The following is a 20,643-nucleotide window of genomic DNA, read 5'->3' on the forward strand; positions in this document are numbered from 1 at the left end:
CTAGCTGTCTCTGCACACTGCACACAGGCTGAAGGCAACCAGTAGCATCATCTCAGAGTCTCCACTGAGAACTTACCTCCCCATCAAGCCACACTCTCACTGTCCACCATGTTGGCACCATACCAACTATGGGGCATCTCCCAGAGGCTAGAACCCAGGGAAACAGATCACTCGCTCCAGTGTTACCTGGTTCCCTCCTTCCTGTTTATTTCTATAATACTCACTCTCCACCTTGAGGTGCAGGCCAAAGTGTGAGAGCAATTGGGTACCCTAGGGGATGACCACCTTGCCTTTCCCATAAAACTCTATGATCAAGCTCTCCAAGCCTGGCTCTTTATAATCTGTGAGAGTTTAAGAAATTCAGAATCCCTTCCCCTTTTTTTCTTTCACAAGAATGACTGACTTTCAAAACCACTGTCTCGCTATGAAATGTCTTGCTAAAGATGTATATGGACATTTTCCCTTTGCATTCCAGCTGCAACAGTCCCAAGGGTACCCTGTGAAAATCATATGCCCCTGGCGGAATCGGGGGGGATCACACAACTGGGAAATGTGAAAGAGAATACCTATGCATTCCTTATCACATTTGTACAATAAATAACAATCTGCTATCCCCACTAAACTATAAAATTTTCAGGAACCTTAAACTCCATCATAATACCTGAAATATAATAGGTTTTCAACAAATGCATTTCATATGGATGAATAAATTAAGCTCAGAGGGTTTGAATAATCATGTTGAACAAAACTAGCAAATAGCTAACCTAGTCTGTATCTATATCACAGATTGGATATTTGTCCCCTCAAAATCTCATGTTGAAATTTGATCCCCAATGTTGGAGATGGGGCTTGGTGGGAGGTGTTTGAGTCAAGGGGACAATTCTTCATGGCTGGCCCTGTGCTGTCCTCACGGTAATGAGTGAAGCCTCACTATTAGTTTCCATGAGCTCTGATTATTTGAAAGAGTCTGGTACCACCCTCCCCTCTCTCTTGCATTTTTCCTATCCCCATGTGATGCCAATCCCCCTTCACCTTCCACCATGAGTGGAAGCTTCCTGAGGTCCTCACCAGAAGCAAATCCTAGTGCTGTGCTCCCTGTGCAGCTTTCAAAATCCTAAGCTGAATAAATGTCTTTTATTTATAAATTGCCCAGCCTTGGATATTCCTTTATAGCAATACAAATGGTCTAAGACAGTCTGCAAAGCTCATGCCCTCAGTACTATACCTTACAGACTAATAATTGGGAAAATTCTTAAAGAACCAAATCAATTTTTGTCAGCATGGTAGAAGCTAAGAAGACTGTCTTTGTCACTCAGATGTGCTGGCTGATTTAACTCCACCATGACCTTTAGCTGTGCCCCTTCAGCCATGCTCAGTTCAAAGCTGTACTACTGTTATGTAAGCAGCAGTTTTGGACAAGTAGGGGGTTCCCAGGTCCTCTTCAGGTACTGGAGATGTGCCTCCGTTGTGTGGAATTACAGGCTGAGCTGCTACAGAGCCAATGGGAAACATGCATCACCCCTTATTTGACAAGAGGCTTGCTTCGAGCAGGACTTCAACTTCTGCCAAATTCTGAGTCTGGCAAAAATTGCCTTGCTCTAGGGGACCTTAGGTCATCTTCAGGTCTCAATCCTACCCTCAGTAAATGGCCTAGAATACTTGCTGGGCTTGAGATGAAACCACTGGAGTCCACTGGTTCTTGCAGGAGTATTTGCATTTCAGTGGGCAGCAGAGGTAACTCAAAAGATGGAGGAGATAGTTTGTAAATGGAGTGAAGAAGATAATTGGGAGAATACAAGGTCAATGGGCAGGCCCTGAAATCATTTTGCTTAGGTTTTAAGATTGCTCACAGACAGACTGTATTGACTTCCATGAATAATGCTCTATCTCATTTCTGGGCCTTTGCAACATGCTCCTTCCTCTTCCTGGGACGCTTTCTCTGCTCTGTGTTTCCTTCACTAAGCCAACTCCACCTCATTTCTGAGACTTCAGTGCAAATGTGACTTTCTTACTGCCCAAGTCTGGGTTAGGTGTCCTCCTCTGTGACCCCATCATCCCCTCTGACTGGGTCTCCACAACACTCTGCAGTCTACACACTGTATTATAAAGGCCTATCTGCTCGTTTGACCCCCTTCTCCTCCCCACCTCCTTTACAAGCTACTCTCTGGGGTGGCAGGGGCCTTGGCATCCCCAGCACATAACACCATGACTGCATGCAGTAGGTATTCCATTCTTAATTGCTGCTTAACAATATGCTTACATGCACACTCTTAGATTCATTTGCCTTTCTGTGGATAATCATACTTTCTTAGGACACACCTTTCCCCAAGAGAAGCAAAACAAAACAAAACAAAAAAAGCCTAGGCTTTAGAACCACAAGATTTGAGTTCCTAATTCCAGCCCCTTTGCTCATTGAGTCCAATGCTTGTAAATGAAAATGACACCTGCGTGTAAGGCACATGAGAGGGTGTAGGGAGTGCTCTGTAGGGAGTACACAGCACAGACTTGGGTGTCTCTCCTTTTCCACCACAGCTCCAGCACACATGCTCTACCCATACAGCCCCCCAGCACACATACACAGGCACACATGCCTTTTCATGGGCTGAGCCTGATGGGATTAGCAGTATTTGGGCAGACTAAGGGACGCTTGAGTGATTGTCACAAGGTTAAAGAAAGAGAGGCTGCCAGATGCTTGGGAAAAACAGAAGGCGAGGATTCAGACCAGAACTCCTTCTTCAGGCTCCCAGCTCCTCTGGGCTGTGGGAAGTCCTTAGGCTGTCTTTTCTCCTTCATTTTTTGAGCCTGCAGAGTGCAGAGCTCTTTTTTTTTCAGTTTGGAGATTCATTTATCTGCATTCTAATTTTAAAATTTCCCCATGTGCAGAGATGACTTTGATCTTTAGCAGGAGTTTATTTCTTCCTATTAGCATCACATTATACAATCTATGACAGATTAATCACAGCTATTGTTGTACTGTTTATTCTACACACTGTATAATTTTACTTTCAAAATGTTATTTTAATTAAGAAGGAAGTGCATTAGGGGAAGGCATTTTCCTGACAGACAGGCTTCTCTGGTCCCACCAAGCAAGCGTATGCCCTGTACTGCCTACAATGGCAACATCTCCAGCAATGAACTCAAGTCCCAGGGAGCAAGTGAGACCTGGGGTTTTCTGCTGTCACAGGACGACTGTGAATAACTTGAATTATATGTATATATATATTGACTATGAAGCTGAATTATATATTTTGCCAAAAATTTTTCTTCATTGTCTTTTTAAAAAATAGCATGTCCTTGTACCACATAGCCTAAAGAATGTAGCTGGAGTTTGATAGAAGGCTTTAAAGGGACAGAGTTGGGCCTGTGGCCGTTGAGGTTTCTTTATCTTACATGTGAGTCCAGCCTGCCTCAGCTACTTCCTACCTTTATGACCCTGGGCAAGTTACTTAACCTCTCTGAGCACCGAATTCCTCAGAGGTGGAAGAACCCTGCTAAGGATGCGGATGGAGAGCTTTAACCATGACAGTGCAGATAAGGGACTTTGGAATGTTTCTTGGCATATGGTGAGTGCTCAGTCAGGGGGTCCTTTGATTCCACAGACACATTTCCTTCTGCTCAGACCAAGCTAGGGGCAATGAGGGGGAGAAGCAGACTTCGCCAACTTGACAGTTTTGCAGGGGGCCCACCCTGGTTTGGAAAGGGTAACCACTTAGAAGCTGCAGAATCTAGAAACACATTTCAACCTCACCATTTACCCTCAAGTTCTGGACCCAGAGCCAGAAACCAAGCTGGTTGGAGCAACAAGTTCATTTTTGAAAAAAGAAAAACATTTTGTGGTGAGGGAAAAAATGCTTGCACAAGAAGCCCGAGGAGAAAAGCTCTTATGTGTGATGTAGTTCCACTGGACAGAGATGAAATAAATGGCTGCTTTGCCACCAACGCCACAGGGTGGGGCAAAGGCTTGATTTAAACTCTGCATCTGATGTGTACTTTGGTGCAGATAAATCCCAATTCAGTTGTATGGTATCGATGCTAATATCACACTGTCAGACCTGATTGACTTGATTAAAGTGACAAGGAGGCCTCCTCAGTCTCCCTTGGAAATAAGTAAGTCTATGTTATGGCAGGAGCAACTGGAGGTGAAGAACTCCTATCCTGGAAATGGAACCTAGAAACTATAGGCCCCTGACAAAAAGCTGCAGAAATGGAAGAAGGAAAATAATAAAATCTAAAGCATCTATAGGATAAAACCACCATTCCCACTTGGAATCCTGTATTAGTTCAAGGGATAACCACAGTTCCTTTGTTACGTTGGAATTTTGTCATTTCAAATACTGAGCCCTTCGGCATAGAGTATTCAGCCTTTCTTTTTTGTCTCTGATCAGCAGAGCTGAATTCAGTATAGTACTTGGAAGAATTTGTCTTCAAATATAGTCATTAAATTGAATTGAGTAAAATTATTCCAAGAAATGGGCTATTATTTGGGATCATTCATTGTAGAGAAATATTTGTTGTGATGGGACTTAAACCACGTTCTTTAATAACAGCTGGGATCTGTTAAGGTGGAATAAAGGTATATATGGAGGTAAAACTAAAGAAAGCGCATATGGCATTGTCATTAATGGAATTTAGAATGCAGTTAATATATGAAACAGGTCGCGTGTCCAGGAACAGCACACAATGTCACACTGTTCCAACTGCAGCTTTAGTGATCTTTCCACCACACTCCTTGCACATATGGAGGGAAAGACAAAATTGGTTTGTATTGGAAGAAAGGGAGGTTTACCCTGCACATCAAGTGCAGTATTTGCAGATCTCTCAATAGAGAAATGAGGCACAGAGCATGTCTTTTTATGGGGACATTTCTTTTCCAATGAAAACAAGTTCATTGGAAACACCCTGTCTTAGTTAACATTTTTATAGGCTCTGATATACTTTTTGGCACTTTTATGTAATGCAGATATTCGTTTAAACTTCAGAAAGAAAAGTTAACACAATTTCAGTTTATTCTACACATTTTTCCAATACTAGGGCCTGGTAAACATTATAAGCTGTCCCTCCAGCTGCTGATGGCTCTGAGGATTGCTATTTGGCCTCTAACAATGTGACTCTCTTTTGTAGCATTTTCCTCTTCAGGTTATTCTTTGCCTTCTTCTTAGAAGAAGAGATTCAGGTCTAAACTCCTTGTTGCCTCTCACCACTCTGTCATCCCTGGGAAATCTCCAATCACTGACTATAAAAAGGTGGTTTGGCTTCCCTAGACCTCAGAGCAGGTCTACAACAATAGTCACTAAAAATGGGCATTGTCCAAGGTTTGCAAAAAGCCAGAGAAGGGTTCCAATGTTAATGGTTTCAAATAGCTGTTTTAAAAGGTAAAACTAATAATAAAAACATAATAAAAATTATAGTCAGGCATCTCGCAAATTTAAAGTATGTCATAGAAGTGCATAATACAAATGATTCTAGTTAGTGTGCTAAGATACATTGTGCTAGGATACGAAGAGATGTGTTGGCACTGTCTGTTTCTAGCTGTGCCCGACCCATGCGGAGCAGCTCAAAGAATGCTTTGCAAGAAGAATGGCACAAAGCTGGCAGGGCAAGAAGACACCAAACAAGACAAAGTGAAGAAGGGACCTGAATGTGTTCCATGCTTTGTAGGTGTCAAACACACACACACATACACACACACACACACACACACACACAGAGCAGGATGTATTTTTTTAGTTTCTTTTAATACTTTTTCTTCTCAGGTTTGGTATTTGGATCAGGACCAGTGAAGTCAAGGTTAGTGTGATGGAAGTAATTGCAACCTTAAGGGAAGATATTTGCTAAGGCCTGCTCAGGATGGGTCTATACAAAACAGTGAAGGAGGTAACACTCCTTTTAAATGTCTCTCCTCTCCTCCCTGCATCCCCTCCAAGGCCTATGCACACCTAGGAACATCCCCTGTCCAGGCTGGACATGAGGCGGGAGGTAAAGCACTGCACTAGCAGTCAGGAATCTTTGGATATCAACTCGACCCATTTTCATGTCAACTCGACCCATTTTCATGTCAACTCGACTCATTTTCTACTTGAACCTGGGAAAGATCATTTATCTCCCTGGACCCCAGTTTCTTCAGATAAAATGAGTGGCTTGGACTATATGATTTCAAGGGTTTCTTTGAATTGAAAGTTGCTAAAATAAATTGATCCACAATAAGGCAACCTCTATCATAAGTCTGTTCATTTTGACATAAACTGCCTGTAAAGGGCAATGCTTATTCGAGAGGAATAACTCCTTTGCTTGCCAAATAAGGAACAGGGTTTGCGGTTTGCTTTTTAAGGTGTGTGTGTGTGTGTGTGTGTGCGTGTATGTGTGTGCGTGTGTGTGTGTGTGTAGCAGGTGGTTTGGAGGCTCAAGAGCATTTTTATCCTTCTCGTTGTCCACACTGAAAATCTTGAGGTTATCTTTGACTTTTCTTTTTCCACCTAATATCTGATTCATTTGCAAATCCTAGTGGTTCCACTAGAATATCTAGAACATGATTACCTCTCATTGCCTCCCATGTTACTATGATCCAATAGACCATCATCTTCATCTCTCACCTGGATTATAGCAATACTCTCTTAACTGCTCTCTCTGCATCCAACTTTGTCTCCTTTCAGTCTATTCTGAACACCAGTTCCAGCCAGATTGACCCTGCTAAAACTTATCTTCCCAAAACCTTCCCTTGGTCTCTGCATCAGTCAGTTTGAGCTAGATTATGCTCAGGTGACAAGCAACATCAACATCTCAGTGACTTCACCAAACAAAGTTTATTTCTCATTCAAACCACATGTCCCATGAGGTAGAGCAGAAGGGCTCTGTTCGTCACAGTCCCTTGAGAACTGAGCCTGAAGGAGACTCCTGAAGTCACTGAAAGCAGCAACACTGTCAGCGCATTTCACACAATGGTTCTTAAAGCTTCTGCCTGAAGTGAACACATCTCCTCCACTCTCATTTTGTTGGCTGAGCAAGTCATATGGCCATATATAGCTTCAAAGGGACAAAAACAGGCAATCCTATCGTATGGCCAGAGGGGAAGAATGGAACTGTTTGACTAAAAGCATAATAGCAACCACAGTTTCCCATCTTATTCAAAGGATAGCCCACTTCATCCTCCTCAGGTTCCTCCAGGGTCCTGCATGGTGTGCCCCATTGCCCCCAGCCCCATTACCTGTCTGATCCCACCTCATTCTACCTTCCCTCTCCCTCCACTTTCACTCCTTCAACACTCCAGGCATGCTGCCCTCGGGGCCTTTGCACTTGCTGTCTACTCTAGAATGCCCTTCCCCAAGACACCTGCAGTGCTCTTCTCTAAGTACTCTAGAATGCTCTTCCCCATGACATCTTCCCCAAGATGTTTCCCCAAGACATCCCTCACTTCTTTCAAGTCTTTGCTCAAGTGCATCCTTCATATTGAGGATTTTCCCAGCCACTGTAATTAAAAATACACACCCCACTCTCCCCACCGCACCCCAGCCTCCTTATCCTGCTTCTCTGCCTTATGTTTTTTCTCCTGAATATATCATCATGTAGTACAATGTATAAGCAACTGATTTATTTTGTGGCAGTGTAGTTGTTTGAAAACTGAGCTCTGTATTACTTACAGAAGTTAAATCCATGGCTCCTTCACTTCCTAGCTAGCTCCCTTGAGGAAATTACCTAGCTTCTCTGTGCCCCATTTTCCTTGTCAGTAAAGAGGGTTAGTAATAGCACCTACCTCACAGACTGGTGGTGAAGGTGAAATATGTGAAGCAGGCAGAGCAGGCGCACAGTAATAGCATTTGCTATTCTTATTTGTTGTCTGACTTGCTGCGTTGGGATGTAAGCTCTGTGGGGAAGTAATATTTGTCCTATTTCAGCCCCGAACTCCAGAGCAATGTCTGACACACACTAGGCACAGCAGAAATATTTCTTGCATTAAAGTGTGACTGCTTGAATGACTAGTGCATCCGGCAAGCTGGCTTGCACTCACTGTCCTCTGGCCCCTTAATGACCTTCAAGGTCTCTGGGTCTCAGCATGGGGAGGACTGCAGAGGGGATGGCTCCTCCCGCCCAGCCAGACTGCACATGCTCAGGGTCCCCGAAGCAACTTCCTCCATCACTGAGGGGACTTCCCTAGATGTGATGATGTGTGATGGGTGGCATGGGCTCATGTTATCGGGAAGCATCCTGATGCACTTTGAGTCTGAGTATAAAATGGACCCCAGAGTGCTGATAAAACCTGAGTAGACTCTGGGTCATCAGAAAGTCAGCCCCGATGTGGAGCAGAGTGTACTGCCTTGAACCCCACACTCTGCTCCCATGGTGCCAGGTATGCCTGTTCGTTTTGAAAAATGGCCACTTGCTATTGTCATGATTTGTCTGTCTCCTGTGGGGAGTGCTAAGTGCCCAGCAGTGGTCCCTGGGCCAGGCACATAGTAGTTGCTCAATAAAGGTTTGCTAAATGACTGAGCCAAAGGATTCTTAAACCCCTTTGAGTGGAAGCCAAACTGCACACACTCTCTGGTATATTTGAGGGAATTTTAATCCCTCGAAGTATGGGACGTTGCAAAGAGAGCTATCAGAGTCAAATGTTTTCCTTGTAATTGGACAAATTAACTTAACAGCACGAACTTGAACTACCTTAATGGAGAGCATTTGGATTTCTGGGATGTTGTAGTGCTTTCTGGTCCAATGTATCAGATCTTCACAGGTGGGTCATCAGCCTGAGGGAGCTCAGGGTGAAATCAGCAATTTCCTGGTCTGTCCCATCCAGGGTGCCCAGCAGCTTTCCATGGTGGAACTGGCTTAGGGTTACAAAGCAAAGTGTAGATGCTGAGAGAAAATTCCTGGCAGTGAGGACACTGAGAATGGTTCGTGTTCCTAAATATGTTACATATGGGCAGTTTTTAAGGTGTATAGGGGTGAGAGGAGGCCCGGGGAGAGTATCAGGTACTGTAATTCTTAGTTCTGGACTTGATTCTGTTTGCCAACGTCTGATTCTGTGCAAGGCCCATGGGGAATCCCTTTCCTGTTTGTTGCTTCTCTCAACCTTTGGGCCTTAAGTGAAAAAGGTCCACAGGATGGGAGCCCTCCACAGATGACATGAGGTAAGAAGCGAGAATCAGGGGGTTGCTTTCTTTTTCACCTTGGGACTTGGCATGGGAAGTTGTCAGCCAATTTGCTTACTCCACCAGTGCCCGCCTTGCAGGTTACTTGCTGGGAGCTCTCCACCCCCGCCCTACCCCATCCCTGTTGGGTCCCCTTTCTCTTACTGGGAAAACAGGGAGAGCTGTGCTTGTGACTTGTCTGGGGCTTAGCCCCAGGGGCAATGGTGAAGCAGGTAAAACTTACCTGTGCTCATTGCTCTCTGTGGCTTCCCAACCCTGTTGCTTCTTCAAACCCTATGTAGCCTTAAACTGAAACTGTGTAGCCCAAGGGAGCTTTTTATCTTTGTGTGTTTGTCCATTTCTTCATCTGTAAAAAGATAGTAATAAAACATGCATTTCTATAAAGTTGCTTGGAGGATTAAATGAGATAGTTCCCATAATGAATGCCCGATATCATCAATTTTGCCTCTCACGAGAGGTTCTGACATCACTGCTTTACATGTTAGTAGCTTTAAGCCAGCATTTCCCAAGAACAGCTGCCTTTAGCAGAGTGACCCCCATGGAAGGAGCCTTGGCATTAGGACAGCAGTTTGGGGAGGTGCTCCCTGGGTTTGAGGCTCCAGTGCCCCTGGAAACCACATTAAATAGAGAGTTACCTGCTCCTTCTAGGAAAGACCCTTTCTGCTTCCTTCCTGAAGGAGGTTGCAGGCGATGATGAAATAAGGTCTGACAAGCACTTGTAAGTCCTTTACAATCTGCTCTCCCTCCTTTTTCTCTTGAAAAAAGACTTATGATACAGGAGCCAAAAATATGTCTTTTTGCCATTTTGCTTTTAGAATGTTATATCATTATCATATTCATATATTCTAGAGCTTTGCTGCTGGAAGAGGCTGTTTTTAAAAAAATTGTCATGCATTCCCTTGGCCGAAGGAAACCTCTGAGTTCCCAGGCTATTTGAGAGAAAATTCCTAATCAGCACAACTTTAGTTTGCACTGATTGAATATCAGCTTTTATCAACAGTTTAAACAGAATTTCCAAATCAACAAATCAGCACAGTCCACAATATATTCCTAGTTTGGCATCTGTCCTTGTGACACCACCTCTCTGGATTAGATTCTGCTGGTGAAATCTGTTTAACTTAGCCAGACTGCTGTGCTAATTGGTACCACTGAGATGTTCAGAAGTCTGAACTTTGATCTGATGAAAACAGACATTATTGAAACAGAATTTTGTTTGTTGGCTCGGGGAGTATTGGCTCCTGGAGTCTTTCTGCTGTCAAGTTGCCGAAGGGCCATTTGTTTATGAAATTTATTGTCTGGGGAGGAATAGAATCTGGGGAAGTGAATTTAAAGATTTATTCCCTCAAGGACAGACTCATATGGAAAAAGACCATTGAGGAAAAAAACTTTTTAAGCTTCTTCTGCAGGTACTGCTTGTCCATATCCAGCGGGTCATGGATCTCTCTCTCTCTCTCTCTCTCTCTCTCTCTGTGTGTGTGTGTGTGTGTGTGTGTGTGTGTGTGTGTAAGGATACCAAGAGGATCCACTTTACAAAAAACCAGTAAGCTACAACTCAAACATATAGAGAAAATAGGGAGATTTTCCACATATCAGAAATGCATTTTGCAATGCCCCTTTCAGTGCCCCAGATTTGAAAAAAGAATCGCAAATTCAATTTACGCACAGTGTTTTAGGAATACAGGCACAGTGTAAAGCGAGGCACACCTGTACATTATTTAATAAGAAAGCATTTCTCTAGGATAAACAACCTTTTTACAGAGTCCTGGGTTCTGGGTTTTGAAGCTTAAGCTACATAAGGTATGAATTTTCATCTCAACAAATTTCCCCTCTTAACTTATAATTCAGTTTAAAATATTTCAAGGCTCAATAACAAACTCAGTTACAAGATTATTGGGAAAAGTCAGTGTTTTATTTGCCGATGTTGATCTATTTACTTTCTAGTGTTGATCTGTTTATTTGCTGTATCACTCTTTTCTTGGTCCTGAGGGTTTCTTTTTGAGATCTGGCCTGGCTCCCACCCAGCCTCTGTTAAGCTGCTTGGTAGGCTGTGTTCTTTGTGTCTTCAGCACCCTCGCCATGTCCTTTGATGAGCTGGTGGCCTCACCTTATTCTGGGTTCTTTGAGTGATGCTCCACCCACAGGCTCAGGGGTGAAGCCTGTGGCCTAGGCCTAAGGCAATCAGCACATCACTTTCCCTGGCTACAGAGCTCGGTTCAGGAGTGGGCATGTGGCCCTGACAGGCTCAGTGAGATGCAATGAGATTCTGCTGGGAGGAGAGACCTCAAAGTAGGCTGTCCTTCCAACTTAAACCTGAGGCAATGTAAGCTGGAGCTGCTTGGGTTGCACTGGGACATGAGCTTTTCTTGACAATGGAGCCTTGGGTGAGTAAGCAGAGCTGAGATACGGGGACAGATTAACAAGGTGATAAGGACAGCTTTGATCCCTCTAGCCAGCCGTGCCTGAGGCTGGACATATGCCTTAGTCTGTGGGCATTGCTATAACAAAATACCAGAGACTGGGTGGCTTAAACCACAGACATTTATTTCTCACAGTTCTGAAGACTGGGAAGTCCAAGATCAGGGTGCCATCATAGTTGGCTTCTGGTGAGGGCCCTCTTCCTGGCTTGCAGCTGGCAGCCTACTTACTGTATCTTCACATTGCCCAGAGGAGAGACAGAGAGAGAGAAATTTTTGGTCCTTCTTATAACAACACTAAAATCCCACCATGAGTGCCCCACTCTCACCTATACCTAATCATATCCCAAGGTCCCCACCTCCAAATACCATCACATTGGCGGCTTCAATATATGATTTTGAGGGGCATACAAACATTCAGACTTGTAAGTTATATAGACTTATAAATTAATATTTGGCTTTAGACTAATTGGGCTGAGTTCTTTGTCACTTGTAGCTGAGCTTTAACTAATAGAGAAACACATCTTGGAGACCGGCATGTTTGAGTCCTGCATGTTAAGAGTTTCCATTTGTTCCAGGATTAAAGCTTTTTCTTTCTCCTCTACCCCATTTTTCTTTCCTTCCTCCTGAGCACAGGTGTGTCCCACATTGGAACATTCTGAATCAGAGTTTTGAGTCTCATGTTGCTTTGTATACCTGCTTCCTGGATGGAAGATAACTCAGCCAATTACTATAATAGAAAGGCTATGAAAAGGTTTAGACTAAACCCTGTTTTCATTTTCCTGCAGGTTTTCCTACACCGCGACTTCCACAGTAAATCTTTATATACCTCAAGTTTATTTTGGGCCATAAATGGTTCCATAGAATCAGTCTCATAAAGGTTACCATTACCTGCTATTTTTCAAATGGTCTGGAATTAAACATTTAGGCAACCAGAAGTGGTTTGATTATCTAGAATGTGGCAATGGATAGCCATGATTTTGCCAAAATACTCCAACTTTGCAAGATTGTTTTTACGTGTTGGTCGATAGTTAAAACCATGATGACCACTCGGCTGGCTGTTTCTCTGCGGGACTGGAGTCACTGGCAGATATTGCCAATCTTATTTCCAAAGTGGATGGGGAAAGTGGGAGGCCTCCAACATTGGATTTAGTGTGAGCTAATATGAAAATACTGCAGGTGGCGAAAGAAAATGGGTTTTGAAGTCAGTAGACTTGCATTCTAATCCCATCCTAACTGTGTGGAAACTTGGGCAAGTCACTTTACTTCTCTAAATCTTAATTTTTTTCATCTGTAAATTGGGAATAATAATACTTACTCTATAAAGCTGCTATGAGATTTTTTTTTTGAGATAGGGTCTTGTTCTGTTGCCCAGGCTGGAGTACAGTGGCACAATCTCAGCTCACCACAACCTCTGCCTCCCAGGTTCAAGCATTTCTCCTGCCTCAGCCTCCCAAGTAGCTGGGATTATAGGCATGCACCACCACGCCTGGCTAATTTTTGTATTTTTAGTAGAGATGTGGTTTCACCACGTTGGACAGGCTGGTCCTGACCTCAAGTGATCTGCCTGCCTTGGCCTCCCAAAGTGCTGGGATTACAGGTGTGAGCCACTGCACCTGGCCCTGCTATGAGGATTTTAAAGTTCATAAAATAGTGCCTGACAGATTAAGACTCAACGGTTTTCTTTCTCCCTCTGCCATATACATTGGGACAAACAATGCCCTAGGAATCAGGAGATGCTTCAAGCCCTGGCTTTATTCCTGATCACTATGACACTAAGTAATTCTGTCCTTTTTTCCATTGTGGTAGCAGAAACAATATCATTGTCACTGTTTTATAGATGAGGAAAGTAAGGTTTAAAGACTTAGACAAGGCTTCTCACCAGTAAGTGGAATTGGAAATTGAATCCATCTTGAAAATTAAGGCAAATTCCATTCATCTAACCACCCACCCATTCATCCCTTTATTCAGCAAGTATTTATATATGAGTATCTACTCTGGACCAGGCAACATATTAAGTGCTTAGGTTGCAACAATGAACAAAATAGTCCCTGTCCTCACGGAGCGTAATGGTACTTGGAGTTTTTCCTTTTTAACTTGCAGAGTAATTATCAGGCCCAAAAAAGACAAGAAATGTGAAAGTGCTTTGTCAAGTATAAAGCACAGTCAAATATAAACTAACTTAATGAAATAAAGCTTGAAGACAAGATTAGAGAAAAAAGAATGAAAAGGAATGAGCAAAGCCTCCAAGAAATATGGGACTATGTGAAAAGACCAAACCTACATTTGATTGGTGTACCTGAAAGTGACTGGGAGAATGGAACCAAGTTGGAAAACACTCTTCAGGATATTATCCAGGAGAACTTCCCCAACCTATCCACACAGGCCAATATTCAAATTCAGGAAATACAGAGAACACCACAAAGATACTCCTTGAGAAGAGCAACACCAAGACACATAATTGTCAGATTCACCATGGTTGAAATGAAGGAAAAAATGTTAAGGGCAGAAAGAAAGACTGGGTTACCCACAAAGGGAAGCCATCAGACTAACAGTGGATCTCTCTGCAGAAACTCTACAAGCCAGAAGAGAGTGGGGGCCAATATTCAACATTCTTTTTTTTTTCCTATATAAAAATTTATTAAGAGACAAAACAGTTAAGCTGAAAACCTTTAAAAATAGGTCTTACTGTATTTGTGGGTATTGATCCCTGGTCATTAGGTGACAAGTGTTGGAGAAAGGGATGCCATAGGGCATAAATAATCCTTCAATGATTTTTTTTTTCTCTTTCTTTTTTTTTTTCTGTCTTCAAGCATCTGTTTAACAAAGCACATCTTGCATCGCCCTTAATCCATTTAACCCTGAGTTGACACAGCACATGTTTCAGAGAGCAGGGGTTTGGGGGTAAGGTTATAGATTAACAGCATCCCAAGGCAGAAGAATTTTTCTTAGTACAGAACAAAATGGAGTCTCCTATGTCTACTTCTTTCTACACAGACACAGTAACAATCTGATCTCTCTTTCTTTTCCCCACATTTCCCCCTTTTCTTTTCGACAAAACCACCATCGTCATCATGGCCCATTCTCGATGGTCGCTGTCTCTTCAGAGCTGTTGGGAACACTTCCCAGACGGGGCAGCCCGGCAGAGGTGCTCCTCACTTCCCAGACGGGGTGGCCAGGCAGAGGCGCTCCTCACTTCCCAGATGGGTTGGTGGCTGGACAGAGGCGCTCCCCACCTCCCAGATGGGGCGGCTGGGCAGAGGCGCTCCCCACCTCCCAGATGGGGTGGCTGGGCAGAAGCGCTCCTCACCTCCCAGATGAAGGGCAGCCAGGCAGAGGCGCCCCTCACTTCCCAGGCGGGGCAGCCGGGCAGAGATTTCCCTCACCTCCCAGACGGGGTGGCGGCTGGGCAGAGGCGCTCCTCACTTCCCAGATGGGGTGGCGGCTGGGCAGAGATGCCCCTCACCTCCCAGACGGGGCAGCCAGGCAGAGGTGCCCACTTCCCAGACGGGGCAGCTGGGCAGAGGTGCTCCCCACCTCCCAGACAAAGGGCCACTGGGCAGAGGCGCCCCTCATTTCCCAGGCGGGGCAGCCGGGCAGAGGTGCTCCTCACCTCCCAGACGGGGCGGCCGTGTAGAGGCGCTCCTCACCTCCCAGATGGGGTGGCCGTGCAGAGGCACTCCTGACCTCCCAGACGGGGCTGCCTCACCTCCCAGATGGGGTGGCTGGGCAGAGACGCCCCTCACCTCCCAGACGGGGCAGCCAGGCAGAGGCGCCCACTTCCCAGACGGGGCGGCCAGGCAGAGGCGCTCCCCACCTCCCAGACGAAGGGCGGCCAGGCAGAGGCGCTCCTCACTTCCCAGGTGGGGCGGCTGGGCAGAGGCACCCCTCACCTCCCAGATGGGGCAGCTGGGCAGAGACGCCCCTCACTTCCCAGACGGGGCGGCCATGTAGAGGCGCTCCTCACCTCCCAGACGGGGCGGCCGGGCAGAGGCGCTCCTCACCTCCCAGATGGGGCAGCCGGGCAGAGGTGCTCCTCACTTCCCAGACTGGGTGGCCGGGCAGAGGTGCGCCTCACATCCGAGACAATGGGCAGTCAGGCAGAGATGCTCCTCACTTCCTAGGTGGGGTGGCGGCCGGGCAGAGGCGCTCCTCACTTCCCAGATGGGGGCAGCCAGGAAGAGGCGCTCCTCCCTTCCCATTTGGGGCAGCCGGGCAGAGGTGCTCCTCACTTCCTCCCAGATGGTGCGGCTGGGCAGAGGCACTCCTCACTTCCCAGAGGGGGTGGCCAGGCAGAGGTGCTCCTCACTTCCCATTCGGGGCAGCCGGGCAGAGGCGCTCCTCACTTCCTCCCAGACTGTGCGGCCAGGCAGAGGCGCTCCTCACATCCCAGACGATGGGCGACCAGGCAGAGACACTCCTCACTTCCTAGATGGGGTGGCGGCCGGGCAGAGGCACTCCTCACTTCCCAGATGGGGCGACCAGGCAGAGGGGCTCCTCACATCCCAGATGATGGGTGGCCAGGCAGAGACGCTGCTCACTTCCTTTTCACCTTCTTGGCTCCAGCTCCTTTTCAGGCCTCTTGGCTCTTCTTTCCTGTTTGAGAAGGGGGATGCTTCCTCATCCTTGCCACCAGAGTTCTCACACCTGTCCTTACACTTTCCTCAGAAATTTCTATTCAGTGGAAATCCTGTTGCTTGGATTTCAATCTTGCCATCTTTACTGATGCTCTCTGGAGCCACTGCTGCAGAAGGGGTGATAGGCTTCAATCGTACATCATGGCAAGTAGTGGATTGCTGTCCCTATGTGTCCGGAATTGGTGGGTTCTTGGTCTCACTGACTTCAAGAATGAAGCCGCGGACCCTCGCGGTGAGTGTTACAGTTCCTAAAGGTGGCGTGTCCGGAGTTGTTTCCTTCTGATGTTTGGATGTGTTCGGAATTTCTTCCTTCTGCTGGGGTTCGTGGTCTCGCTGGCTCAGGAATGAAGCCATGGACCTTCGCGGTGAGTGTTACAGCTCCTAAGGCAGTGCATCTGGAGTTGTTCATTCCTCCCAGTGGGTTCGTGGTGAAGCTGCAGACCTTCGCGGTGAGTGTTACAGCTCATAAAGGCAGTGTAGACCCAAAGAGTGAGCAGCAGCAAGATTTATTGCAAAGAGTGAAAGAACAAAGCTTCCACAATGTGGAAGGGGACCCGAGCGGGGTTGCCCTCAACATTCTTAAAGAAAAGAATTTTCAAGCCAGAATTTCATATCCAGCCAAACTAAGCTTCATGAGTGAAGGAGAAATAAAATCCTTTATAGAGAAGCAAATGCTGAGAGATTTTGTCACAACCAGGCCTGCCTTACAAGAGCTCCTGAAGGAAGCACTAAATATGGAAAGGAAAAGCCAGTACCAGCCACTACAAAAACATACCAAATGGTAAAGACCATCGACACTATGCAGAAACTGCATCAACTAATGGGCAAAATAACCAGCTAGCATCATAATGACAGGATCAAATTCACATGTAACAATATTAACCTTAAATATAAAAGTGGGCTAAATGCCCCAATTAAAAGACACAGACTGGCAAATTGGATAAAGAGCCAAGACCCATCAGTGTGCTGTATTCTATTCAGGAGACCCATCTCACATGCAAAGACACACATAGGCTCAAAATAAAGGGATGGAGGAATATTTACCAAGCAAATGGAAAGCAAAAAAAAGCAGGGGTTGCAATCCTAGTCTCTTCTAAAACAGACTTTAAACCAACAATGATCAAAAAAGACAAAGAAGGGCATTACATGATGGTAAAGGGATCAATGCAACAAGAAGAGCTAACTATCCTAAATATATATGCACCCCATACAGGAGCACTCAGATTCATAAAGCAAGTCCTTAGAGACCTACAAAGAGACTCAGACTTCCACACAATAATAGTGGGAGACTTTAACACCCCACTGTCAATATTAGACAGTTCAATGAGACAGAAAATTTACAAGGATATTCAGGACTCGAACTCAGCTCTGGATCAAGTGGACCTAATAGACATTTGCAGAACTCTCCACCCCAAGTCAACAGAATATACATTCTTCTCAGCATCACACAGCACTTATTCTAAAATTGACCACATAATTGGAAGTAAAACACTCCTCAGCAAATGCAAAAGGATGGAAATCATAGCAAACAGTCTCTCAGACCACAGTGCAATCAAATTAGAACTCAGGATTAAGAAACTCACTCAAAGCCACACAACTACATGGAAACTCAACAACCTGCTCCTGAATGACTACTGGGTAAATAACAAAATTAAGGCAGAAATAAATAAGTTCTTTGAAACCAATGAGAACAAAGACACAACATACCAGAATCTCTGGGACACAGCTAAAGCAGTGTTTAGAGGGAAATTTATAGCACTAAATGCCCACAGGAGAAAGCAGGAAAGATCTAATATTAACACCCTGACATCACAATTAAAAGAACTAGAAAAACAAGAGCAAACAAATTCAAACGCTAGCAGAAGACAAGAAATAACTAAGATTAGAGCAGAACTGAAGGAGATAGAGACACGAAAAACCCTTCAAAAAATCAATGAATCCAGAAGCTGATTTTTTAAAAAAGATTAACAAAATATTATTCTCTTTTCAAATATATTGATAGCATTGCCCATACAATGAGGTTCCACCTAATGCTGATTTGAAATTGAGAAAACACTTAACACACAGGTGAAGAGGATTAAGGAAGTTTAACAGTTTCAGTTCAAACCCTCAAGCTCTGAAAGACATCAGGGCCTGAACCCAGATGTGGCCACAGGCAACTATACAGAGGTTCCTGCATCTAAACCCCAGTGCCTGAAGGCCACTTCCTGGGCTGTGCTTCTCCTGCAGTGTCTGTCTTGGTGGCTGGTAGCAGCTCTCACCTTGCATCCTGGCCTTCAGACAGATGCCTTCTTTGGACGTCTGCTGGTTCTTGTTTCTGACATCTGCCTGGTCCCTGCCTCTCAAATGCTTGGCTCTATTCCCATGCCCAGCTCCAGCACCGAACTATTCCTAAATATTAGGAAGAAAACCCAATTGTGAGAAAGCTGCATTAAAAAGCAGCACCTTCTAACTGGCCTCTGCTCATTTTGTTGGCATCTGATTGACCACCACTGGGCTGCCAGTCCATGGAGAGAGGTCTTGGACTTTGACGTCCGCTCTGTTTGGTAACTCATGGACTGCACTCCCAGAGAACAGCAAGGAATGATAGAAATTCTGGGATAAGCTTTGGGATGAGAGAACCACACAGGGTATGGCCTCAAGCTGGCTTGGATGGGGTTCTGGGTTGCTTTGGTTTTGTGATTAAGCCCATGTTCTGGGGAATCTCACATGAGCTGTTAAATCTGTCACATTTTTGTGTTTCTAACAAGTGGACTTCCTCAGTGCTCTCCGTGCTCTCCTCAGGAGGACTGTGTGCCCTTTACTCTGTACCTGGCCTTCCAGCAGGCACCGAAAAAGCCCTGTGAGCTTCTCTCTGAGCGGTGGAGAACTGCACATGTATGGATGTTGCTGCTTCCTGAAGGTGTGGCGGGCCCAGAGCCCCAGGGCCTGTGTCCCTTTTGATCTGAGCTCCATGAACATGGCACCAGAGGGAGTGTGGGTGGCTGCTTTGCTCCTAGAAAGGCTGAGGTTGGGCCCTTCAGAGCCACAGCTGGGCCAGCTGCTGCTGGGCTTCCCAGCATGTCACACACTGAGGCTGCCAGCAGAGCACACTGCTCCCTCCATCCTGCCTTCAGGCCAGCAACCGAGGGGCTCTTCCAAGTTGGTTGAAATCACATCACCCCAGACGCCTGCATGTGGTGTGACTCCTGGTTTTGCACAAAAGTCCTCAACTGGAACCTGTGCAAGACTTTTAATATATGGCTGGGAAAAAGAAAAATGAACGTTCCCAGTATTTTTCCCATTCCCATTCCCTCTTCTACCAAGAAGATTTTAAATGAAGGGGGGTGGGGGGAGCTTCATACCAGAGGCAAGTTTGCAGTGAGAATCTCTGAGTCTATTTTTGTCCAGTACCATCTGGACACAAATCAAGAATCTAATTTTTCCCACTACTTTCTCTTCCCCCCGCCCCCTTTGTACTTTAGCTGACTCTGAGAGCATGAAGCCTGAAACCAAGTCTGGACCACAGAATTCCATTAAAACATAAAGAATAAACAGAAAGAAAATGTCACTGAGTTCCGTGAAGTATTTCCCCCACCTTCAGGGCCCATGGCAGCCGGGGCCCTGGAACTCCTCCTTCAGGACCTTCCAGATGCACCAGAAGGTGCAGTGAGGCTGGGTGCAAAGCACAGTGGCTGGTCCCTCCTGGTGCCACTTTGTACCTGGAGCTGTGGCTGCAGTGTGCTCTGAGCCCTGGGGCAGAGATATAAAGTGCAGCCATGTGACAGTCATTAGCCAACCTTCAGTAAGTGCCAACAGACTGCCAGTGGGAAGAGGTCGGTCTGTGAGACCTGGAAACCCTCTCAGCTTAGCAGCTTCACCAAAGTGACAGAGACCCTTGAGGCAGGCCTGAAATACCAAACAGTTCCTTCCCTGTCTTGGACTATTTCCCCTTCTCCTTCATGGCCAATGCCCCTGGTCAGCCACAACTTAAGATATTAATGCAGTGGATTTTCTTAACATTATACTAGTGGGATTTGGGTGGATGGGTAGATTTCCTTTAAAGTCATTTGTGTCAGAGGACTTTGGCTTGGAAATAAAGTACCTGAAGTTCTAGGCCTGATCTTCTGTATAAAAATGAACAGATTTATTCAGGAGCCTGAATGTTGGAAACTTAGCTCTAAGTTCTGTTGGTTCACCTAACATAACCAGACAAAGATGAATGTGGGGGCTTTGTTTTTTGTGTTTTTAATTAGTTTTATTTTCATTGATACATAATAGATGTACAAGTTTTTGGAGTACATGTGGTAATTTCATACATTTGTATAATTTGTAAAGATTAACTCAGTGTAATTGGTATATCTATCACCTTAAATATTTGTCCTTTCTTTAGCTAGAAACATTCCAATTGTTATCTTCCAGTTATTTTGAAATATAAAATAGACAATTGTAAGCTAGAATCACCCAATTGAT

At 45.2% G+C, this 20,643-nt stretch overlaps 2 long non-coding RNA genes across 2 annotated transcripts in view; one reads left to right on the forward strand and one right to left on the reverse strand.

The window, feature by feature from the left end:
* Positions 1-20,643, forward strand: part of NGF-AS1 (NGF antisense RNA 1) — an 85,039-nt gene that overhangs the window by 61,970 nt on the left and 2,426 nt on the right. The gene's annotated exons all lie outside the window — the stretch shown is intronic.
* Positions 11,664-19,893, reverse strand: LOC112268234 (uncharacterized). Its single transcript, XR_002958345.2, has 3 exons — positions 19,769-19,893; positions 18,453-18,582; positions 11,664-11,790 (listed from the first exon to the last, which is right to left on the reverse strand). It is a non-coding gene; the product is annotated as an uncharacterized LOC112268234 (long non-coding RNA).

Source organism: Homo sapiens, chromosome 1 (genome assembly GCF_000001405.40).
Source record: "Homo sapiens chromosome 1, GRCh38.p14 Primary Assembly".
In the NCBI taxonomy this organism is placed as follows: domain Eukaryota; kingdom Metazoa; phylum Chordata; class Mammalia; order Primates; family Hominidae; genus Homo; species Homo sapiens.